The 25,204-nt window shown below is 41.2% G+C and overlaps 1 protein-coding gene across 4 annotated transcripts in view; it reads right to left on the bottom strand.

Annotated features, from left to right (window-relative positions):
• Positions 1–571: 571 nt before the first annotated feature.
• RPSA2 (ribosomal protein SA 2) overlaps positions 572–25,204 on the bottom strand; it is a 112,693-nt gene continuing 88,060 nt past the window's right edge. For 2 of the 4 annotated variants that reach the window (NR_170712.1, NR_170713.1), the window contains 2 exons: positions 6,583–6,722; positions 572–3,005 (listed from right to left, as the gene is read on the bottom strand). The gene's annotated coding sequence lies outside the window, so the exon portion shown is untranslated. Of the gene's footprint in view, positions 6,723–25,204 lie in introns of all 4 variants that reach the window. The other 2 variants (NR_170714.1, NR_170711.1) reach the window with 2 other exon arrangements.

The raw sequence follows: 25,204 nt of genomic DNA, 5'->3' as shown, positions 1-25,204 counted from the left end.
CCTTTTGGGTTTAAGCAATTCTCCTGCCTCAGCCTCTGGAGTAGCTGGGATTACAGACACATGCAACCACGCCCAGCTAATTTTTGTATTTTTAGTAGAGATGTGGTTTTGCCATGTTGGCCAGGAGGGTCTCGGACTCCTGACCTCATGATCTGCCCACATCAGCCTCCCGAAGTGCTGAGACAAGCCAAATTTCTAGTGTTGGCTCTTGTCTCTACCTTCCACATCAGTGCCACACTGAATAATTATTTACTCCCTGTGCTGTTGCATGGGTTGTTCTTTTTGTTGTGTGTCCATCCCCTTACCCCAGCAAAGAACATTTACTCCTCTGGTAAGACCCATCTCAGATACTACCTTTTCTAGGGAGAATTCAGTCTTTTGTTCCTAATAACTGTTACCCCCATCTGTCAAGTCTGTCTGCTGTAATTTATCTGTTAGGATGTTTCTCCCACCTCAAAAATATTTTTTCCATCTCCTTACCTAGCACAATTGCATGGTTGGTGCTCACTGACTACTGTATTTTGATTACTTTGCCATGTACACTGGTGGCCTGAATAAAGGAAGATGAATGTGGGAATAAAGACAAAGACAAAAAAGTTTATTTGGAAGAAGGGGTCAGGGGGCTCCTTGCTTCTAGTGAACAAGGGCCCTGAGTTCTAGAGCCCTTTATATTTATTGAGTAAAGGAGATAGGGAGAAGGGGCTGATTGTCAGTCAGCTGCTTGACTTAGTGTAGGCCTGCATGACAGCATTCTTTAAACAGTAGGCTCCAGATGTCCCAGTAGATAATCTCAAGGAGCACAGCACCAGGGAGTGGCTCCCCTTAGCATACCTTCCAGTGTCAGGTGCAGATGTGAGTTTGCCCACATTCTGCATTCATGATAAACAGTTTGCTCTTTGATCATATAGCTTCCAGTGGAATGCTGTGTTGGTCACAATCCTCAGGCTTCTGGATCCCAACATCTCTCCCTTTCTGTTTTTGCATTAATTGAATGAATGTAAGGCCAGGTTGGGCAGCTTTATTTTCTGATTGGCAATCCATCTGATTTTACAGGCTATGAGCAGGAAACAGAGACAGAACAACATTATTCCCAGAACTATATATGAGATGTTAATGTGGTACTTTAGATAGTTCCAAGGATTGAGGCTCTCCAGGCCTTGCTGGAATTCAGTCCAGGCTTCTAAAGAAGGCTGAAACTCTTGAGTTTGCTTATTTAAATCAAGAACTTTTTTTTGTAATTCACCAATGTCAAAGGTGATGTTGGATGTGAAAGCTCCCTGCAAATGGGCTTTTACAAGGTCCCATGGATACTCTTTGGTTATATTCTAAGTTGGTTACACAAATATGAGTGTGAATGACAGTGCAATTTCTGTTGCAACTGTAAGCTTTGTACTTGTTCCCCTAACCACAGAACCATGGATTTTAATATTACCACTTCAGTTTGTAACTCAGTGTTAATTTTACTCTGAAGTAGCCATGCTTAGTTGGCTGCATGCCTCCAGTCCTCTACATACTGAGCCATTTGAACAGAACTATGCAAAGCTACAGAGGACATTACAGCAGAAGTGATTAGTGTGACCAAAGAAACAATAGCAAAAATTATGATGCCTGAGGCTCTACAGGCATGATGAGTAAGTTTAGTTAGAAGAAGTTTCACAAAGTGCCAAACAGGGGTGGCATCACAAGGCTCAGACAGATTAATGAGAATCCATAGCCCAGGAATGTGACCCAAATATCAAAGTAGAGATATTACATGTTTGCAATGTGCTATGATTAATGCAGTGATATAACCAGCAAGATTTAAGGTCAATTGAGTATTGCTTACCTGGAGCTGGTCCGCCTTAGCTGCCAAAAAGACATAAGGATTAAAACCACAAACCATAAGTTGAGTGGTGATATTCTTTACAAATGTGACATTAAGACTGTGTTGAGTAGCAGTACTGGTATTAGAGAGTGTTCCTACCCGGATACTACCGTTTGTGAACAGCAGTGCTGCTTTCCATATTGTTTCTTGAATTGGACCTTTCCTCCCTAGATAATGCCACTGAGGAAGAGGTGTGCTAAAGCCTGCTCCATGCCAAGCAATCCAGGTGGCAGACTGGGATTGGATCCCGGTGTGGTATAAAGAAGGAGTATTCAAAGCTTGCCACCAATGGCAGTGAAGTTTGTGTCATGATTTCTGATTTTCCTCTTTTCCATCTAGTTGACCTTTAGTTCCCCAATCCACAATGTCTCCAGTTAACACAGATTCTTTTCTACCCAGTGGGCCAAGACACTGGGTCAATGGAGAGAGGTCAGAACTATTGAAGGGAATCCATTCCATATAGTCAGCACAGTTGGGGCAATTGGGCCGGGCATGGTTGGTTAGCACACCAGTTACATAAATAGAACCAAGAACTATTAAGTACATAACTTTTCCAAGGTGACTCAACCATGCTTGAGCTTCAGTTGTAAGACAGCTATGGTTGAGCGACATCTTTGTAGTGATACACAAGGGGAGTCCTTCCAGTGGGGTAGTATAATTGACGACATTGTTCTGAGAGTCTAACTGTTCTATGTCCGGGGGAGCCAGACATAGGGGTCCTGGAGCCCATGCTCCCTGATCACGATAGATCTCAGGAGGAGTGTCACTCCAAAGTACAGGTTGTACTGCTGGAGGATTGGGAACCTATGCCCAATATGTTTTTGACTCTGCAAGGGAAAACCTACCACACAGGGCATTATAGCTAACATGGCCAAGAACATGGAATCAGGGGTTTTTTCTGGCCTTGACGCTCCAGTAGTTTCTCAGCTTCCTGCATGGTTTTCTTGAGTGTCCCCCAGGTTATAGGGGTTGATGTCACCATGACTCCAGTTGGCCTTCTGTCCATTTTTGCACTCAGGCTCAGCTGGCTCATGGCCCATACCAGAGGGACCGGGCCCATGGTTGGCCACCATGGGTTCCTCCAGTCTTCCATTCCATGGTTGCACGCACCTTGAGGGCACCCACATGGTTTATCCATCTGCTGTAAAAACATAAGCATACCCTTGTCCCCACAGCAGTAAATCCACCATACCTTTCCATTGTCCTTCTTCCAGGGATTTCCATAATAATTTCAGATAAACTTTCCTAATTTCCTCTAACACTTGCCAATGTCTTTCTGCTGCAGTCTTACCATTCATACAAGGAGTCAAAAAATTTAAAGTAAATAAAGATAAACTTAGTTTTGTTTGAGGTGGTGGCTGGTGTCCAATCACCCTTTTTTTTTGTTTTCTCAACATGCGTTGTAACGTTTGATGTGCCTGGTCTATAATGTAAGGAATTCCTGTTTTATGGGTCATAGCCCAAAGCTGTAGGAAAGTTTGAAAAGCATGACTAGTATAAGCAGGTCTATTGTCAGTTTTTAATTGTTTAGAAATCTCCATATGAGCAAACGGCGACAGACAGTGTCACCATACATGACCGGATGTCTCACCCATTTGGCTTGTAGCATGTCTCTGATTAATAGAAGGCACAGAGAAGGCAAATCGAGGCTTATCCTTCTCATGTAATGGTATAGTAAAGAAAAAATCTTTAAGATCTATTACTACAAGAGGCCAGTTTTTAGGAATGGCTGCTGGGGATGGCAAGCCCTGCTGTAATGCACCCATTGGTTTAATTTGTGCACTAATAGCTCTCAAGTCATGCAGCAGTCGCCATCTTCTGGACTATTTTTAGGATAACAAACATCGGTGAATTCCGGGAACTGACTCCTCTAAATGTCCTGCATCCAATTATTCTTTCACCAACAGATGAAGTTGAGCTAGCTTCTCCTGTGTTAGGGGCCATTGATCCACCCACACAGGTTTGTCACTAAGCCATTCTAAAGGTAAGGCAGTGGGTGGTGGAAAAGTATCAATGACCCCAATAATAAATCCTGATGTCCCAATCCTTTTTTTTTTTTTTTTTTTGAGACGGAGTCTCGCTCTGTCGCCCAGGCTGGAGTGCAGTGGCGCAATCTCTGCTCACTGCAAGCTCTGCCTCCCGGGTTCACGCCATTCTCCTGCCTCAGCCTTCCGAGTAGCTGGGACTACAGGCGCCCGCCACCACGCCCGGCTAATTTTTTGTATTTTTAGTAGAGGTGGGGTTTCACTGTGTTAGCCAGGATGGTCTCGATCTCCTGACCTCATGATCCACCCGCCTCTGCCTCCCAAAGTGCTGGGATTACAGGCGTGAGCCACCGCACCCGGCCCCAGTCTTTTTTGTCTGTCTTTCCAGTTATTGATATTGGGTTAGGGTTTCCTTGTAGGAATTTTCCTAAACCTTTCCCACTCTGATATTCCATGTCCTTTGACATTTTAAATCCTAGGTTATTAAAGTTTTCATTTGTAAGTCTCATATCCAATGCTATAAGTAAGTCTCGACCCCATAAATTGATAGCTATATTTGCAACATAAGGCTGGAAAGTACATGATTGTCCATCCGGACCAAGACAAGGTAAAATCTCAGCACTCCGTTGAACACTTTGAGCTGCTCCTACTCCCACTAGGGATGTGGAGATTAGTCTGAGGGGCCAGGATGGGGGTCAATCCTTACTGGATATTACTGACACATCAGCTCCTGTGTCCATAAGCCCATACATTTTTTTTTAATTTGTACCAAACAGGTGGGTCTATTAGAGGCTAAGGGTTGGAATAGATAGATTTTGCATGTAGTTGTGCTCCCAAACCCTTTATTTCCTCATTTCTCCTTTCATGCAGAAGGGTGTAATTTGCAGGGGATAAGCAATAATTGTGCTATATATTCCCCTGGTTCAAAAACACAAAGATCTTTTGACATTAAAACTATTTGAATTTCTCCTTAACCAGAGTCAACTACTCTGGGGACTACAGTGATGCCTTGCAAGTTAAGGCAGCTTTTGCCTAAAATTAGTCCCATGTATTCTGCTGGCAAATGTCCCCAAATGCCAGTGGGAACTTTGGAAGGTTTGTCTTCTCCAACTAATGTAATTCTATCTCTGGTGGGGATATCTAATCCTGCACTTCCTGGTGTTCCTGGGGAGAGGGAATCAATCAATATTCCTCCTGGGACCCACCCCTGAAGTGGGGTTGTGGTCTGAACTGGGAATGCCCTCATGGCTTGAGGGGCCTGGGTCCAGGCCTCCTTCTCATTTCCTGACAGGGGGTGCTATTGTGATGAAATTTTGAGTGGCATCGGTGAGCCCAATGATTTCCTTTGTTACAGAGAGGACAGAGTCCTGGCATTATTTCCACTGGGCGGGGGGGGGCACCACATTGTAAGATCCTTTTTGTCCTGAGGTCTGGGGTGGCATTCCTTTTTAAAATGTCCAGTTTTTCCATAATTATAACATTCTCCCACTTTAGGGTTTGATCCTTGGCTCCTTTTAGATTTGTCAACTATTAAACTAGCCATTGCTTGAGCATGCTTGCAATCTGCATTTGCATTTCATAGGCTAGAGCTATGGTAAGCATTTCTGCAGCAGAGGCATGAGTGATCTGATGCTGCACTGCATCTTGCAGCCATGCGATAAATTGTGCATAAGGCTCCTGTGATCCCTGTGTGACATGTAGAAAAGACTGCACTGTAACTCCCTCTTCAGGAATTGTGCTCCAAACATGCTTGGTGGCTAAGGAAGACTGGTGGTAAGTGGCCTCTCTGATGGGAGTGTTAATTGTTGTACCAGATCTGAAAAGGGGCCACAGCTCATCAACATTTCCTCTGTAGTGTTTCCTTGAAGAGCGGTGCGATTCTGCCTAGCCTGGTCTGCACACATTTCTTGCCAATTTAAACTCCATGTCAGATATGCACTGGTGGATAAGCAAGTGCAAGCCAAAGGTTTTTCATCAAAAGGTGGAAGGCACATGGCTCTGAACACCGATTCTAACAGCCCTATAGTGAATGGGCTTTGCACTCCATTATTAACCACACCAGTTTTTAATTCTTTTAGTAATTTAAACTCTACAAGAGTGTGTTCATGTCAAAAATGTGGTGGATCATTCAGATCAAGCCTTATGGTAATAGGAAAAGCATAAGGTCCCAAAAGTTCCCTTGCCATAGCAGCAGCATGCAAAATTTGTTGTGTGGGGGTTTCTACTTCTGTTATTGGAGGGGGTGGCAGAGGCCAATTCTCCTCTCTTTTTTTCTGCTTAGCAAATGGCCAATTCTCCCCCTTTCTCCTGCTCATTATTTTCAATATGCACTGTTGGAGGAACAAATGAGTTTTTTAATTCTTGAGACTCAGAAACTGACTTCTGTTGCCTGGCAGAATAAAGAGACAGCAGCAGTAGGACCATGCGAACCAAACCCCAAGCAGAAAAAACAGAAGGGTCTACTTTGAGACTTTTTGATGAGCCCATTTCAATCCCTCTCCTACTGTGTCCCAATTTTCCACATCAAGAGGGCCTGCCTGTGGAAACAATGGGTTATGTGTAATAACCTCCTGCAGAAGTTTAGCTAATGTCTGTGAATTAACTTGAGATCCAGACTGTTTCAACACAACTTTAGGCAACTGCACATAATGTTTTTCTTCAACAGACAAATGCTGCCCCATGGTACCGTCATTCAGAAACTTCCCATTCCCAGTACTTTTTTAGAGCACTGACCTTATATCCACTGCCAGCATATTTGTCCTGGGGTCCCCATTCATCTTGTCTATTTCACTTCCTGTGCTCCAGCAGATCTTCCTCGTTCACTTCCTCGAAGTCCCTATTCATGACACCACTTTGCCACTGACCCTGGTGGACTGAACAAAGGAGGATAAATGCAGGAATAAAGACAAAGACAAAAGAGTATGTTTGGAAGAATAGGTCAGAGGGCTCCTTGCTTCTGGTGAAGAAGGGCCTGAGCTTCTAGAGCCCTTCACATTTATTGTGTAAAGGAGACAGGGAGAAGAGGGTGGTTGTCAGTCATCTGCTTGACTTAGTGCAGGCCTGCATGACAGCATTCTTTGAAAATTTAAAAATTAATTAATATTTAAAAATTTAAATCTTAATTTACTCTACAAATAACTCAGATTTTTGCCTCACTGTGACCTAAGCATATGCGTGCATTTAGTAGTCTAATTACAAATTAGTTATAAATATATTTTACCAGATAATTACCTTGTGAATATCCAAAATTAAAATCAGTATGTTCAGAACTAATTTGTGGTGATGAATATATATAAGCCAACTTTAGAATAAGCAATTCATAGCTACTTATTATGGAGAGTCCTGGATAGTGGTGACCATGTATGCTGTCTGTTGGGTGATGTATTCTTCCTTAAATATTTGTGTATTTGCACTGTTATAGTGTTGCTTCCTCAAGGCCTTTGTGTGTTACATTTTCTATGCTTTGGGGTATGGGTATGTGTTACATATGGCTGTCTTCTGGATATTTTAGACCATCTATTATGGTGAGATTAAGTGAATGAAAGTAGAATATATTTCCTGTGAAGCCCATGAGGAAATTAATGGAATGTTAATAAAGAAATACATGTTTGAAATTTGAGTTTACTTAAGAAGTAATTTGAGTTTACTTCAGAGAAATTAAAAATTGTATCAGGTAAGGCAGGCCATGCGTTGTGTCTTAAGGGTGTCTGTAATATGCCCATTCTTTGCATGCCCAAAGCCAGTGTCATCTTGCTCAGAATGTGAGATAGGGATCTATGCTGTCAAATTACTTTTTCGACAGGAAAATGGATGCTCTGCCTTGGAATGAGAGAGTGTGTGTGCATGTTCGGTCTTCTTGTGACAATAAGTGCTGAAAACAGGGTAGTCACACATCTTCTCAGTTTCTCATTGATTTTGCTCCTTTTCTTAAGCAGCCCCAGATGTAGATGTGGTGAACATGGTGGTCTGTGTGTTCTGAAGCTTGCTTTGTGCCTCTGTTATTCTGTTCTGCACTGGAGAGCAGATGGTGTGTGGTCATGTGTTTGTTTTGTATTATGATAAGAAAGAGATATAAACATCAGTGTATTGGGGAAGTGGAGTGGTTAACACTAGTCAAATTCTTATGTTTAGAGATTATTTCATTATTATCTTTACAGTAAATGGAATTTTGTAAGGGCTCATATGTCCAGCTTGTCTCTAGGAAGTTTTGTAGTAGCTAGGGGCTGTCTCTTGTGTTTCTTCAGAAAACTAAATAAACAGAAATCAAGTCCTATACACCAGAAACTATGACATGCTTATATTACAAATGAATCTGTCTAGAGTGCCTTTTTTTTTTTTTTTTTTTTGAGTTGGAATCTCACTCTTGTCTCCCAGACTGGAGTACAGTGGTGTGATCTTAGCTCACTGCAACACCCACCTCCTGAGTTCAAGCGATTCTCTTGCCTCAGCCTCCCCACTAGCTGGGATTATAGGTGCCTATCACGATGCCTGGCTAATTGTTGTATTTGTAGCAGAGATAGGGTTTCACCATGTTGGCCAGGCTGGTCTTGAACTCTTGACCTTAGGTGATCCACCCTCCTTAGCCTCCCAATGTGCTGAGATTACAGGTGGGTGCCACTGCTGTTGGCCTGTCTAGAATACTTTTAAATACTCTTCTAAGTTTAATCTAAAGCATTCAAATTGCAGACAAACTTTGGTGAAAAGCATTTCTTAGCCAAGTTTGCTTGTATTTGCATTAAATCAGATAAACCAGGGGTTAAGTGTTTCTATTTCTCTTCTACCTGCGCTAGACCTGTTAAGCCAAACACACTCATCATGATAGCAGTAGAAGCAGAAGTCTTAAGATCTAACAGTTATTGAGCACTAGCTACCAGGATCCTAATTATTTTTTACACATTATCTTTTTTATTCATTGGGAGGTGGAGGCTGCAGTGAACCAAGTTTGTGCCATTGCACTCCAGCCTGACAACAGAGCAAAACTCCATCTCAAAAAAACAAACAAAAAAAAAAAAAAGAAAGAAAGAAAGAAAAAGAGATGTAGATGTAATTATTATCCTGAAGATTAAGATGAGGGAATAGAGACCCAGAGAGGCAGCCAGCTATTAGAACTCAAACTGTTAAGTTTGTCCCCAGGACTGTTTTTTTTTTTATTCTTATACTTTAAGTTTTAGGGTACATGTGCACCTGGGATTCAAGGCTGGTTCAATATATGCAAATCAATAAATGCAATAAATGTAACCCAGCATATAAACAGAACCAAAGACAAAAACCACATGATTATCTCAATAGATGCAGAAAAGGCCTTTGAAAAATTCAACAACCCTTCATGCTAAAAACACTCAATAAATTAGGTATTGATGGGATGTATCTCAAAATAATAAGAGCTATCTATGACAAACCCACAGCCAATATCATACTGAATGGGCAAAAACTGGAAGCATTCCCTTTGAAAACTGGCACAAGACAGGGATGCCCTCTCTCACCACTCCTATTCAACATAGTGTTGGAAGTTCTGGCCAGGGCAATTAGGCAAGAGAAGGAAATAAAGGGTATTCAATTAGGAAAAGAGGAAGTCAAATTGTCCCTGTTTGTAGATGACATGATTGTATATCTAGAAAACCCCATTGTCTCAGCCCAAAATCTCCTTAAGCTGATAAGCAACTTCAGCAATGTCTCAGGATACAAAATCAATGTACAAAAATCACAAGCATTCCTATACACCAATAACAGACAAACAGAGAGCCAAATCACGAGTGAACTCCCATTCACAATTGCTTCAAAGAGAATAAAATACCTAGGAATCCAACTTACAAGGGACGTGAAGGACCTCTTCAAGGAGAACTACAAACCACTGCTCAATGAAATAAAAGAGGATACAAAGAAATGGAAGAACATTCCATGCTCATGGGTAGGAAGAATCAATATCATGAAAAAGGACTGTGCTTCTTACCCCTGCCAGACTACCTACCATAGAGACATGATCCGCTCACCAAACAAACACTAACTGAAAACCTCCTGTGTGCAGAGTTCTCCCTATTAGGCACATCAAGGGAAAAGATGGTCAAACCAAGGGAAGAATATAAGTGTGTCAACTCAGGGTTCTGGTTTCCAGAAATAAATTACAGCCTAGCTATTCAACAGCTCATTTTAGCTAATATTTGACCACAAAAGTTAGACCTTCCCTTCTGTGATGGTCAGGAATGGAGATTGGTGTTTTGTGGAGTGAGGGGCTTGCAGAGGTCATGTTAGTACGTGAACTGACTGACGGGGATTTGTTTGCCCTTAAAAAGGGGGAGTTCAACAAGACACTAAAGCAGAACGCTGGTAGACTGAGGCCCGGTGGAAAAGTACAGTAGAACCCTGAAAAAATACTGCCAAGGATGAAATTTTTAACATGTTCTCATTGGAAAGGATAGTATGTGGAAGGGAGGTGGTCTTTCACATGGGGGGAGATATGCTAGAAGTGAAAAATGGTGGGCATGGATTCTACAATTCTGTTGGTCCTCTGTGTGGTGGGTAGTGGGGGGGCTCTCTTATCTCTTGTGGACACCCACTTTAATCTCACTGAAAGTGCTGAACCCTGTTCAAGGACTCATATGAAACCTACTTTTGAAGAGATTTGAAACTGTAAACTCATAAGTGTTTGGGAAATTTAATTTTGCTTTGGGTAGGGCCAATGCCTTGAGGACAGGTCTATTGTTATTTTACATAACATAGAAAATCAAGGTTTTGCCTCAGAATTTGCACTGGGGTGATCCGAAGTGGTTCATAACATGTGATATGAGTGAAGTAAGGGCAACAGTTGAATTGACTTGATTACTAATCTAAAAATTTGTCCAAGATCAAATGTGATAGCCTCTGGAAGGTATTATTTCTTTGTTGTATTGCTTTTTTAAGCAGGAGGAGCAACATGTACTGGAGGACAGTGAGAGGAAGATCTTCTGTCTCCTTTGAGTGTGTTTGAGATGGGGTCACCAGTGTGTCTAGTTTCTTTTATAAGTGTGCCTGAGCAAGTTATGAAATTGGCAGGTCTTGCATTGTGGTAGACACTTAAGGGTCTGTTTTCTTCTATTTGTGGATAAGGACTATTTTGAAACTAGTAATAAATAGAGAATTGAAGTCATGCATGCTACCAGCTCAATTTTCACTGACTTATCTTCTGTATTTACTACTATTATTATTATTTTCATTGTTATTTTTCTTATGACATTGGGAGAGTTTCAGCAAAATAATAGTGGAAAGCAATATGGATTAGTAGACTAGCATTCTGGCTCCTTTCTTGTCTCATCTGTTGAAGATCACTATCAGCAAGCTTGCATTGGGAACCATTTCTTGACATCTACACCTGGTACCAGGCTCTAGAACTGCAAAGATGGATATAATATGATTCCAGTTCTAAAATTCACCAGTGCCTTACAATCAGCAAGAAGAAGTGGAGAACTGGGAAGTGAGAAGCTGCAGTGGAAAGAAAAGGTGATACTCTCACATGTGCAGCTTTTCCATGTGGAGTAGAAGAATGTGGGAAAGGAGAAATATACATTTAAACCAAAAAAAGCAGTTTAAGTACAGGATTTGAAGTAGAAAAATATGAGGCTTATTTGATGACAGGGTAGGACAAGTGGAGTGTGAGAAAAGAATATAGTTTGGGAGGGTCGTGTGGAGATGAGACAATAAGAGATGTTGGAAACATGAATGATTGCTTAGAATTATGATGGGGGCTCAGCTCTGTAGGGTGTTATGAGCCATCAAATGTTTTGCAGCAGGGCTGTAATATGAGCAGCTCTGTGTTTTCAGAGAGAACACTGGTAACCTTTCAAAAAGTTTAAGCTTGAAAAAAGACAATGTGTTCAGCAAAGTGCAATGCAAACTTGGAATCTGGTACCCTCTTTGATAGAATACATTTTCCCTTTTTTAAGAGACTTTTGAGCCCAGAATGTATGGGCTGCCTTCGTAAACATGGTTAAATCATAATGGAAAAGTTAGATATTTATTTTCCACAAATCAAATTCAATTAGACAATGTTTAATCTTCCCTAACAGGGTTTTACTAATTAGTATTTAAACTCTTTAAAGAGTAGGCATATTTACAAAGCAGGGACTCCTTTTCTTTCAAAAATATTGAACCTGGACACTGGGAGCTGAATGGAGATATGTGTAAAATAATTTTGGACAAACGATTACTGTAATGGGCATGCCAAAAGCTTATATGAATCAGTAAAAAGTTAAATAATTCAATAGCAAAATAAGCAGAAGACATGACTAAGCAATTCAATTTTTTTTTTTTGAGACGGAACTTTGTTATTGTTGCCCAGGCTGGAGTGCAATGGTGTGAGCTCAGCTGACCGCAACCTCCACCTTCCAGTTTCAAGTGATTCTCCTAACTAAGCATCCTGGGTTGCTGGGATTACAGGCATGTGCCACCACGCTGGCTAATTTTGTATTTTTAGTAGAGACGGGCTTTCTCCATGTTGCTCAGGCTGGTCTCGAACTCCTGACATCAGGTGATTCGCCCACCACAGCCTCCCAAACTGCTGGGATTACAGGTGTGAGGCATCGCACCCAGCCTGGGAAATATTTTTTTAAATAACATGTTCCATTAAACTATTCATAAATGGTAAGTGTAGGGAAACAAGAATTTTCTAACACTGTTACTGGAAGTATAATTTGATGTCATGTTTGTACGTAGCAGTTTTTGCACTTTGCATCAGTGGCCTTTAAAATGTGCTATATTTCTTAATATAGCAATTTTAACTAATAAATTAATTAGTTTTAACATAATGAAGCAGGGTCACTTGTCTGGGGTAAATACCTGAGATACATCATCTCATGTCAAGGAAATCGAGTAGATGGACACACAAGAAGTTGGTTTAGGATTGGAGGTTTAATAGGCAAAAGAAAGGAGAATAGCTCTCTCTCCTGAATCTCCTGAAAAAGAGTGGGGCACCCAAGTGGGACTTCCAGCCCTCAGTGAAGCACAGCGGATTTTACAGACTGGCTTCAGGAGGCAGTGTCTAATTTACATAGGGCTCAAAGATTGGTTGGATCAGGTGTGGACATTTACAGAGTGCATGAGAAACCTGGCTGCCCCACCCTAATCTTCTATTATGCAAACGGAGCATTTGCCAGCACTGTGTTGCCTGCTTCTTACTCTACATCTGGTTTACAAAGACAAGGGAAGATGGAGCTACCATTTTGAACATGCGCAGTCCACATGTAGCTCCTTTCCTATTGGCACAGCTGCTGGCATTTATTCATGCAAGCTTCCACCTTGGTTATCTATGTTTGCAGCTCGATTTTACAGGCTGCTCTTTGTCAAAAAAGAAATAATTTGTGTGTTGCTTTTTATTAGAAGGGAAACTTTACCAAGGACTTCCTTGCACTCACTATCTGCCTAAATAATTTCTAACTCCTGTATCTACAACAGTTAATGTCATGGGAAACATTTATAACATATTTGTATGTATGAATAAGCAAGACAGCAAACTCTAGTTGTTCTTTTCAATTTATCTATACAAATGTGTTGGGTACAAGTGTAATCTAGTTACATGCATAGATTGCATAGTGGTGAAGTCAGGGCTTTTAGGGTATCCATCACTCTAACAATGTACATTAAAACTATTAAGTAATTTCTCATCACCCACCCCCCACCCTACCTACCTTCTCACCCTTTCAGGTCAGGTGTGCTGGCTTTCAATGACCAACACAACAAAGAAAAAATAATTGTTTTCTGAGACTTAGAATTAAAAATCAACCTAAGAGAAAACATGATTCCTAAACCAGTAAAACATGTTTATATATATATATATTTGCTTATACTCAAGAAACTTATACAGAGTCTTTCCCATGCACAAACCCCAAAGTAAAGCCAAATGATTCTATGCAATAAACATCATGATAGTAACTTCAATTTAAAAAAAAGCTTTCTCCAGTGAATGTAAATTCTAAAATAAAATGAAGCAATTGTCTCTCCAGATGTGCAGAAATCAGTATAAAGACGCAGAAATACACAGGAAACACAGATAAGCAAGGTTTATTCCACTTTTAAAGAAATTCCATAATTCTTCAGTACTCTAAGAAAAAAAAATTATTGAAATGACTTTATAAGACTTTAAAAAAGGGCCAGGTGCAGTGGCTCACTCCTGCAATCCCAGCACTTTGGGAGGCCAAGGTGGGTGGATCATGAGGTCAGCAGTTCGAGACCAGCCTGACCAATATGGTGAAACCCTGTCTCTACTAAAAAATACAAAAAAAAAATTAGCTAGGTGTGGTGGTGGGCACCTGTAATCCCAACTACTTGGGAGGCTGAGGCAGGAGAATCTCTTCAAATTGGAAGGTGGAGGTTGCAGTGAGCCAAGATTGAACCACTGCACTCTAGCCTGGGCAATGAGAGCAAAACTCCATCTCAAAAAAAAAAAAAAAAAAAAAAGACTTTAAAAAGACTTCAAAATATAGATTTTAAAGAAGCTCAAAGATGTTGCGGGAAGTCAGGGACCCCAAATGGAGGGACCGGCTGGAGCCACGGTAGAGGAACATAAATTGTGAAGATTTCATGGATATTTACCACTTCCCAAATAATACTCTTATAATTTCTTATGCCTGTCTTACTTTAATCTCTTAATCATGTTATCTTCATAAGCTGAAGGTGTACGTCACCTCAGGACCCTGTGATAACTGTGTTAACTGTACAAATTGATTGTAAAACGTGTGTTTGAACAATATGAAATCAGTGCAGATATCGCTAAATTCTTTTCCTAGCAAGGAATATTGATATTAATACTCTAGGAAAAGAATTTCATTCCTGGGGGGAGGTCTATAAACGGCCATTCTGGGAATGTCTGTTCTATGCGATTGAGATAAGGACTGAGATAAGCCCTGGTCTCCTGCAGTACCCTCAGGCTTACTAGGATTGGGAAACTCCAGCCTGGTAAATTTTTGGTCAGACCAGTTCTCTGCTCTCAAACCTTGTTTTCTGTTAAGATGTTTAACAAGACAATACGTGCACCGCTGAACATAGACCCTTATCAGGAGTTTCTGATATTGCCCTTTGAAGCACGTGATCTTTGTGACCTACTCCCTGTTCTTACACCCCCTCCCCTTTTGAAATCCTTAATAAAAACCTGCTGGTTTTGTGGCTCAGGTGGGCATCATGGTCCTACCGATATGTGATGTCACCCCCAGCGGCCCAGCTGTAAAATTCCTACCTTTGTACTCTTTATTTCTCAGACCGGCCGACAATTATGGAAAATAGAAAGAACCTATGTTGAAATACTGGGGGCAAGTTCCCCCAATATCTGGCATGCCAACATGGTTTTATCCTAAGTGCATGTGGGAACCCGATTCCCTTTGGTAGGTGTGGAGAAATGTTTATTGGTCCAGACCACAGAAACACTTGTTCGGCTCCCTGATGATTGGTGAGTTGTCTGTGTATTGTCTGGGGTAAGTATGGGTCACACAGAGTCTAAACATTATGCTTATCTCTACTATATTAAACTCCTGTTAAAACAGGGAGGAGTTTGAGTGACCATGGAAAATATGGTCACCCTATTCAGGGTGGTGGAAGAACACTGTCCTTGCTTTCCTGAAAAGGGAACGTTAGATGTGGAACTATGGGATCGTGTTGGTGTAAGATTCCAGGAACTGGTCCCGACAGGAAATTATGTTCCTGTCACCGTTTGGGGTGATTTGGCCTTGTAAGTGCCATCCTAATGACATACCAATCCCATAACCCCCTGCAGTTACCACAATTTTCTGAATCTGGCAACCCTCTCTCTACCTCTTCCTCAGCTTTCCTCTTCTGTTCGGCCTTTGTTATCTGCTCAGCGTCTCCCTTCACCTACTCCTCCCCCACCTGATGATGTTGAGGATTCAATATCTAACTCTGGTGACTTTGGCTTAATGTCACCCCCAGATGATCTTATTTCTTTTCATGAAGAACCAATACTTGTGGCTCTCACGGCCCTGACACAGACAGCCCAGGACCATATCTATGCTAACTCTTCCCTCTCCAAACCTTTGCGGTCTTTGCCTCCGGAGCCACCTAATGGCTCTGGGACCAAACTACAATTCACCTGTACTTCTGCAGACCATCCCCCATCTACTGCAGCTCCTCACCCTCCTGTCATTTTGGTCCCTCATCCAGTCACTTTGCCATCCATTCAACCTGCTTCTCTGTACCCTTCTTCATGCATGGACGCCAATAATCACCAGTATGCTTCTGCCTCTTCTGCTCCCCCATGCCCCTTTCTCACACTCTCATACCAGTCTGACTTCCTCAACCTCAGTTTCCCTTATCTACACATGCTTTTCCTGTCATTTCTATGCTGACTCTGTCTCATGTTCCTGCTCTTGAAACTTCCACCCAACGCTTATTATGCCAAAACAAACAAACAAGTGGATTAGAGGTGTGGGCTTATCTGGTCGTGCTGGAACCTCCTGATGCTCGGATACAAGTGCATCAGTATGTGCCACTCAATCTTACGTTTTTAAAAGAATTCAAGGATGCTTGTACTCAGTATGGTCCTACTTCTCCATATGCTAAAATGGTATTACAGACTCTTTGTACTGAGGTCATTCTGCTTCCTTTAGACTGGGACATTTTGGCAAAAACTGTTCTAACTCCATCTCAGCATTTACAATTGCATACCTTGTGGTCAGAGAAGGCCCGTCTGCAGGCTCAGCTAAATCATGCTGATGGCATTCTAATTACTCAAGCTCAGTTCACAGGCTCTGATAATTAATCTGATACTACTGTTCAATCAAGTTTTGATGCTTTCACCATGGAACAAGTAACAAAGTTGTGTATGAGAGCTTGGGATAAATTACGTGCCCCAGGCCAAGCTCCTGTTTCTTTTACTACTGTTAAATAGAGTCACAATGAATTATATCCTGATTTTTTGGTTAAATTACAAGATGCTGTTCAAAAATCTGTCTCTGATGAGCACGCTCAAGGTATTCTCCTTCATATGTTGGCTTTTGAGAATGCGAACCATGAGTGTAAAATGGCCATTCGTTCCATCCAACGACAAAATTTACCTGATCACAAGGTGTTGCCTGCATATATTAAAGCTTGTGAAGGCATTAGATCAGAGACCCACAAAGCTATTCTGTGGGCATGGGCCACGAAGGATGGCAATCAAACTGGCTCAACTGATTCTTTTCTTGGAGCCTGCTATAATTGCAGTCAACTTGGTCATACTCAAAAAAATTGCATTGTTAAAAACTTAAAAGCAGCCAAGCTGGCTCAATAAACACAGCCAAATGCTGCTGCTACTGTTTGCCCACATTGCCATAAAGGTAAACACTGGGCAAGTACTTGCCATTCTAAGTCTGATATAGATGGAAATCCCTTGCCACAGAACCAGGGAAACAGAAAGCAGGGCCAGTCCCAGGCCCCAATATCAAATGGAACACCTCAGACTCAGACCAATGTGTTCCCACTTCAAGCAGTCCCAATGCAGCCCCCAGCACAAACAAATTTACCTACAGCCAACCCAGGTGGGTCCCAGCCTCTTCTGTCTCAGTACAATGCTTGTCCACCTTCACAGTAGGGGGGTGGAGCAGTAGATCTCTGTAGTACCATTCCTCTAAATTTACTACCTAATTCTTTGCCTGTAATTGTCCCCACGGGGGTCACTGGCCCTTTACCTCAAGGTTCAGTGGGCCTGGTGTTAGGTAGGGCATCCACCTCTGCTAAAGGAATCACTGTTCATACTAGTCTCATTAATTCTGATTCCTGTAATGAGATTAAACTTATGGTGTCTGCCAAGGTTCCTGTTTCCATTCCAGTCAGTGAGTCAGTTGCTCAATTACTTTTACTACCTAATATTGTTTTAAACAAAGGAGATAAGACACGGGGCCCTGGGATGGGCTCCAGCAGTGAAAAAGCCGCTTATTGGATTAATGTAATTTCTAAACAATGGTCCACCTGCACCAAACACATTCAAGGAAAAAAGTTTGATGGCCTAGTAGATACTGGGATTGATGTTTCTATTATTTCCTCTAATTTAAGGCCTTCCTCCTGGCTTAAACATCCCACTAACATGGGACTAGTAGGTGTTGGAAAAGCTGATGAAATTCCCCAGAGAACATTTATCTTGCCTTGCACTGGCCCTGATGGTCAAAAGGGTACAATTCAGCCTTATATCATGCCAATCCCCATTAATCTTTGGGGTAGAGATTTGCTGGCACAATGGGGGACTGAAATTAATATTCCACATAACTCTTATAGTGCTCCCACCCAACATATAATGAAAAACATGGGGTTTGTTCCCAGACTCGGTACCAGCCCAAAACATGAAGGAATTACTAAACCTCTTCAAGTTACTGTAAAAGAAGACAGGGATGGTTTACGTTATCCCTTTTAATGGCAGCCAATGCCATGCCTCCTAATCCTATGCCTTTATAATGGAAATTGGAAACACCTGTTTGATCAGTGGCTGCTCTCTAAAGAAAAACTGGAGGCTTTAACTCAATTGGTTTCTGAATAGTTACAACTTGGACATGTGGAATCTTCTTTCCCCCCTGGAATTCTCATGTGTTTCTAGTAAAAAAGAAATCAGGCAAGTGGCGGATGGTAACTGATTTAAGGGCCATTAATGTTGTAATTAAACCTATGGGAGCCATCCAACCTGTCATGCCTGCCCCTGCTTTAATACCTAAGAATTGGCCTCTCATAGTTATTGATCTTAAAGACTGTTTCTTTCATACTGCTTTACATAAATCGTATTGTGAAAAATTTGCCTTAACCATCTATCAATAATCAGGAGCCTGCAGTTCATTATCAATGGAAAGTACTTCCTCAGGGAATGCTGAATAGCCCTACCATCTGCCAGCTTTATATTGGACAGATGCTTTCACCAGTTGGAGCTCAATTTCCCCAGGCCTATATTCTTCATTATATTGATATTAATTGCTGACCCCACTGACAAAGAATTGACTGTTATCAATTTTTGAGCCGCTGAGTTACAGAAGCTGGATTACACATTGCTCAGGATAAAATTCAACAGACACCTCCTGTTCCATATTTAGGAATGGCAGTTGATAAAGAATGTATTCAACCTCAAAATGTTCAGATTAGGAGAGATTCTTTGAAAACCTTAAGTGATTTCCAAAAACTTTTGGGTAACTATTGGGAGCAAGCCCCCCAAAATCTGGCCATAAACTGGCCCCAAGACTGGCCATAAACAAAATCTCTGCAGCAATATAACATGTCCATAATGGCCCTAACGCCCAAGCTGAAAGGATGTGGGTTTATGGGAATGAGGGCAAGGAACACCTGGCCCACCCAGGCGGAAAATCGCTCAAAGGCATTCTTAAGCCGCAAACAAAAACATGAGTGATCTGTGTCTTAAGGGCATCTTCCTGCTGCAATTAATTTGGCCCATCCTTTCGTTTTCCTTAAGGGATACTTTTAGTTAGTTTAACATCTATAGAAACAATGTTAATGACTGGTTTGCTGTTAGTAAATACGTAGGTAAATCTCTGTCCAGGGCTGTCAGCTCTGAAGGCTGTGAGACCCCTGATTTCCCACTTCACAGCTCTATATTTGTGTGTGTGTGTGTGTGTGTCTTTAATTCCTCTAGCGCCGCTGGGTTAGGGTCTCCCCAACCGAGCTGGTCTCAGCAGGTAACATTAATTATTTAAGACCTACTTTAGGCATTCCAACATATGTGCTAACTTGTTTTCTATGCTGCATGAAGATTCCCATCTCCACAGTCCCAGAACTTTGACCCCTGAGGCTTCATTGGAACTGCAATTCATAGAAGAATCCAAACTGCCCAGTTGTCTAGGGTACAGCTGTCTCAGCCTTTTCAGCTTCTAGTTTTCGCTTCATTCCACTCCCCTACTGGGCTAATAGTTCAACATAATGATTTAGTAGAGTGGTGTTTTCTTCCTCATTCTAAAATAGCCACCCTAATTGGACAAGCTCGGTGTAGAATAGTTCAAATTTCCGGATTTGATCCAAATTTAATTGTGGTTCATTTAAATCGGCTCAAAGTTCAGGCCGCTTCTCAACATTCCATACTGTGGAAAATTCACTTGGCTGATTTTATCAGCGTTATTGACAATCATTTTCCAAAAAACAAATTGTTTGATTTTATAAAAATGACTTATTGGGTGGTCCTTCGACTGACCAAAGATCAGCCCATTCCTGAGGCCGTTACAGCGTTCACTGATGGCTCCAGTAACGGAAATGCTGGTTATGTGGGTCCTACAGACAAGCTTATTTCTACCCCTTATACAACTGCTCAAAAGGCAGAGTTAATTGCTGTAATTACTGCCTTACAGGGTTTCCCCAAACCTTTAAATATTGTCTCTGATTCTGCTTATGTTATGCATGCCACTAAAAATATAGAAACTGCTACTATTAAACATATTGATAATTCTGAATTGGCTTATCTTCAAGGTTACAACAGGTGGTTCACCAATGTAGACACCCTTTCTATATTTCACATATTAGATCTCATACCACTTTACCAGGACCCATGGCTGCTGGTAACCAAAAGGTAGACTTTTGGTCTCTTTTGCAACCCAAGAAGCTCAGAAGTTCCAATCTCACTCATGTCAATGCTGCTGGATTAAAAGATAAATTTGCTCTCACCTGGAAAGAGGCTAAGCTTACTGTCCACTGCTGCTCTCAGTGCCAAGTTTTTATACTTCCAAATCAGGAACCTGGTATTAATCCCAGAGGGCCTAACTCCTAAAGATTTATGGCAAATGGATGTGACTCACATTAGCTCCTTTGCAAGATTTTCATATGTACATGTTTCTGTAGACACCTTTTCAGGCTTTATTTGGGCTACTTGCCAAACAGGAGAAGGCAAGGCCCATGTTAAAAGAAGTATTCTTGCTTTGCAGTTATGGGGCTTCCATATCAGATAAAAACAGACAATGCCCCTGGATATGTAAGGCTTTTGATTTATTTATGCAACAATGGGGAATTTCCCATATTACCAGAATCCCTTACAATCCTCAGGGACAGGCTGTTGTGGAACGGGCCAATCACACCTTAAAAACTCAATTGTCCAAACAGTCTAAACAACAAAAGAATAATTTAACCACTCCCCATTCCCAATTACATTTAGCATTGTTTACTTCAAACTTTCTGAATGTTCCTAAAGACAATACTCTGACTGCAGCTGAAAGCCATTATACAGGCAAAAAAAATTCTCCCTAAATGAAGGCAAGCCAGTGTTATGGAAAAATTCCCAGACCAATACCTGGGAACCTGGAGCGATTATAACGTGGGGAAGAGGGTATGCTTGTGTTTCACCAGGAGATCATCAATCCCCTGTCTGGGTGCCCACTAGGAGACTTAAACTTCGTGTGAATACTGACAATGAACACCACAGAGAAAAGACGTCTGTGTCAGAGACCACCCTCATACCTGGTGAGATCTGTGCCACCTCCTTAGAAACTGGCACACAAATCAAAATGGGTCTGGTTCAATCCTCCCTAATGGCAATGGAGACCCCTCTAACTAATCCCACTTCTCCTAAACCAAAAAATCTCACCATTTCTATTAGCCTTAAAAATAACATCCCTCTGTTCTTCTCTTCCTCCTTCAGCACTGGATCTTGCTTACAATAGGTTTTATTTAATATTTCTCCTCCTTATACTTTCTGTCTCACCAATTTCCCCTCATACTGACTTACCTGCTACACATACTTATTCTTATTAGGCTTATGTGCCTTTTCCTCCACTTATTTGACCTCTCATCTGGATGGATGCTCCTGCAGAAATCTATACTAACAATAGTGTGTGGATGCCTGGAGCTAGAGATGACCATTGCCCCACTCAACCAGGAGAAGGCGGCACTGCATTTAATGTTACTAGGGGTTATAAATACCCTCCTCTGTGCCTCAGACATGCACCTGGTTGTATCCATCTACAAACTCAAGTCTGGGCTGCTTATCTTCCGGAGAGATTAACTACAAGAGAACCGGGACATTTGGTCTCTGGCCTCTCCCTTTCTCCTTTAAGACAAATGAAAAGGGGAGCAATAGGAGATACCCCATACTTTCAATATAAACCTGTAGGAAAACTATGTCCTAAAAATGTTGAGGGCCCATCTGAAACTTTAATTTGGGAAGATTGTGTTAACTGACATGCAGTAGTATTAAAAAAAATGACTCATATGGTTTAGTAATAGACTGGGCACCAAAGGGCTATTTAAAAAACAATTGCTCCGCTGGCAGGAGGGAATGCCTGGAGGCTACTTATTTTATTTCTTATTGGAAGGATGAGGATCATCATTCTACTTTGGATAGGAGGTTCAGCTCATTCTTTCCCTTGAAATGGGAAGATAAGGGCATTACCCACCTGAGGCCTCGTATGATATTCCCCATTCTGTGCCCAGAACACCCAGAACTTTGGAAATTGGCTATTGCCATGTCCGGGCTGTGAGTATGGAAAGCGGAAACTTTTCTGTCTGTTGTCACCACTGCTGCCCCTCGCATCCATGATTCTGAACCCCATGATAAATCCCCTTTAAACCCTTTTCCTCTTTTTGATGCCAATCTTCCTTTATGGGACCCTAATTGGCATTATAATTCTTCTCAATCCAGGTATGCCCCTCTACCTCTTTGGCATCCCTGGGCACCTCAGATTGCTTCATTATGGTGGAGAACATCGGGCATTGCCACTGCTGCTCCCCTCCCTCAGTATCAAGGTAGATTCAAGCATTCTGCTTTGTTTACCTCCAATCTGACTATTCCTATACAGAGTTGTGTTAAGCCTCCTTACATGCTGTTAGTGGGAAATATCAAAATTTGGACAAACTGCCCAATGTATTAATTGTCATTTATACACTTGTATTAACTCCCATTTTGACTCCAGGAAAAGTGAAATGTTGGTTCGAGCTCAAGAAGGAATCTGGATACTGGTAACTTTACCCAGACCTTGGGAATCTTCCCCCTCAGTATATTTAATTAATGAATGTTACAATGAATTCTCAAAAGAGCTAAGAGATTTGTTTTCACTTTAGTTGCTGTGATCATGGGTGTAATTACAGTCACTGCACTGGTCACCACTGCTGGAGTGGCATTACACCAATCTATTCAAATGGCTCATTTTGTCAATGATTGGCAAGCCAATTCCACCCAAATGTGGAATTCTCAACAAGGCATCAATCAAAAATTAGTTCACCAAATGAATGATTTAAGACAGTCTGTTATTTGGCTTGGGGATCAGCTAATGAGTCTCGATCATCACATGCAAATGCAGTACAATTGGAATACTTCTGATTTCTGTATCACACCATATTCCTACAACAAGACTGATCATTCATGGGAAATGGTCAAAGGACACCTTCTCAGTAGGGAAGATAATTTATCCTTGGACATAACTAAATTAAAGAAACAAATTTTTGAAGTCTCTCAAGCTGGTTTATACATTGTGCCTGGAGTTATACATTAGATCAGGTGGCAGAAAGTCTTTCTGGACTAAACCCCATGACTTGGATTAAGTCTACCAGGGGCTCCATTGTAGTAATGTTTGGTATTATGATTATCTGTTTAATCGGCTTGTTTTTAGTGTGCTGGACCAGTCAAAGAATCATGTGTAAAAATTGAGAGAATGAACAAGCCTTCATCGCCATGGCACGTTTATATAAAAAGAAAGGGAGAGATGTTGTGGGAAGTCAGGGACCCCAAACGGAGGGACCGGCTGGAGCCACGGCAGAGGAACATAAATTGTGAAGATTTCATGGATATTTATCACTTCCCAAATAATACTCTTATAATTTCTTATGCCTATCTTACTTTAATCTCTTAATCCTGTTATCTTCATAAGCTGAGGATGTACGTCACCTCAGAACCTTGTGATAATTGTGTTAACTGTACAAATTGATTGTAAAACATGCGTGTTTGAACAATACGAAATCAGTGCACCTTGAAAAAGAACAGAATAGCAGCGATTTTAGGGAACAAGGGAAGACAACCATAAGGTCTGACTGCCTGCGGGGTCAGGCAAAAAGAGCCACATTTTTCTTCTTGCAGAGAGCCTATAAATGGATGTGCAAGTAGGGAAGATGTCCCTAAATTCTTCTCTTAGCAAGGAATATTGACATTAATACTCTGGGAAAAGAATTGCATTCCTGGGGGGAGGTCTATAAATGGCCGCTCTGGGAATTTCTGTCCTATGTGTTTGAGATAAGTACTGAGATACGCCCTGGTCTCCTGCAGTACCCTCAGGCTTACTAGGATTGGGAAACTCCAGCCTGGTAAATTTTTGGTCAGACCAGTTATCTGCTCTCAAACCCTGTTTTCTGTTAAGATGTTTATCAAGACAATACGTGCACCACTGAACATAGGCTCTTATCAGGAGTTTCTGATATTGCCCTTTGAAGCACGTGATCTTTGTGACCTACTCCCTGTTCTTACACCCCCTCCCCTTTTGAAATCCTTAATAAAAACCTGCTGGTTTTGTGGCTCAGGTGGGCATCATGGTCCTACCGATATGTGATGTCACCCCCGGCAGCCCAGCTGTAAAATTCCTCTCTTTGTACTCTTTCTCTTTATTTCTCAGACTGGCTGACATTTATGGAAAACAGAAAGAACCTATGTTGAAATATTGGGGGTGGGTTTCCCCAATACAAAGAGATGCAAGAGAAATCTGAAAACCAATATAAAAATAAATAAATAAATTTAGAGTATGAGTAAGAAATGTGCCAAGGAGATAGACATCCTTAAAGAAAAAAAAAAAGAAACAAAAATTGTAGAACTTAAAGATTTAATGAAGGAAAAAGAAAATACATTCAAAAATTCAATAATAGACTGAAACAGGCATAAAAAGAATTTTCAGACCTTTAAACAGGTCTTTTAAAATAATTTACTGAGACAAAAATAAGGAGAGAAATGAAAAAGAATGAACAAAGATTTGGAGATATTTGCAACTACATAAAGTGACTAAACAAAAATTATCAGTTTCTGAGGAATAAAAAACATCAAAAAGTTTAGAAAACCTATTTAAGAAAATAATTGATGAAAACTTCCCAACTCTAGCAATAGAATTAGACATACATATACAGGAAGCTCAGCAATCACCACCAGAATACAATGCAAAACAGACCTCAATATGGCACATAATAATCATAGTATCTAAACTCAAAGTGAAAGAAGTAATTCTAAAATCAGCCAAAGAAAAGCATCTAGTCATTTATAAATAGAACCACATCAGACTAAAAGCAGACTTCTCAGCAGAAACTTTACTGGCCAGAAGAGAACAGGATGGTACTTTTAGAGTGTTGAAAGAAAAATGCCAGCCAAAAATTTTACATCAAGCTAGATTAACCTTCACAAGTGAAGAAGAAATAAAGTCTTATCCTGACAAATAAAGGCTGGGGAAACTAACTACCA

The sequence above is a fragment of the Homo sapiens genome, chromosome 19, assembly GCF_000001405.40.
Source record: "Homo sapiens chromosome 19, GRCh38.p14 Primary Assembly".
In the NCBI taxonomy this organism is placed as follows: Eukaryota; Metazoa; Chordata; class Mammalia; order Primates; family Hominidae; genus Homo; species Homo sapiens.
This window is presented reverse-complemented; position numbering and strand designations above follow the sequence as displayed.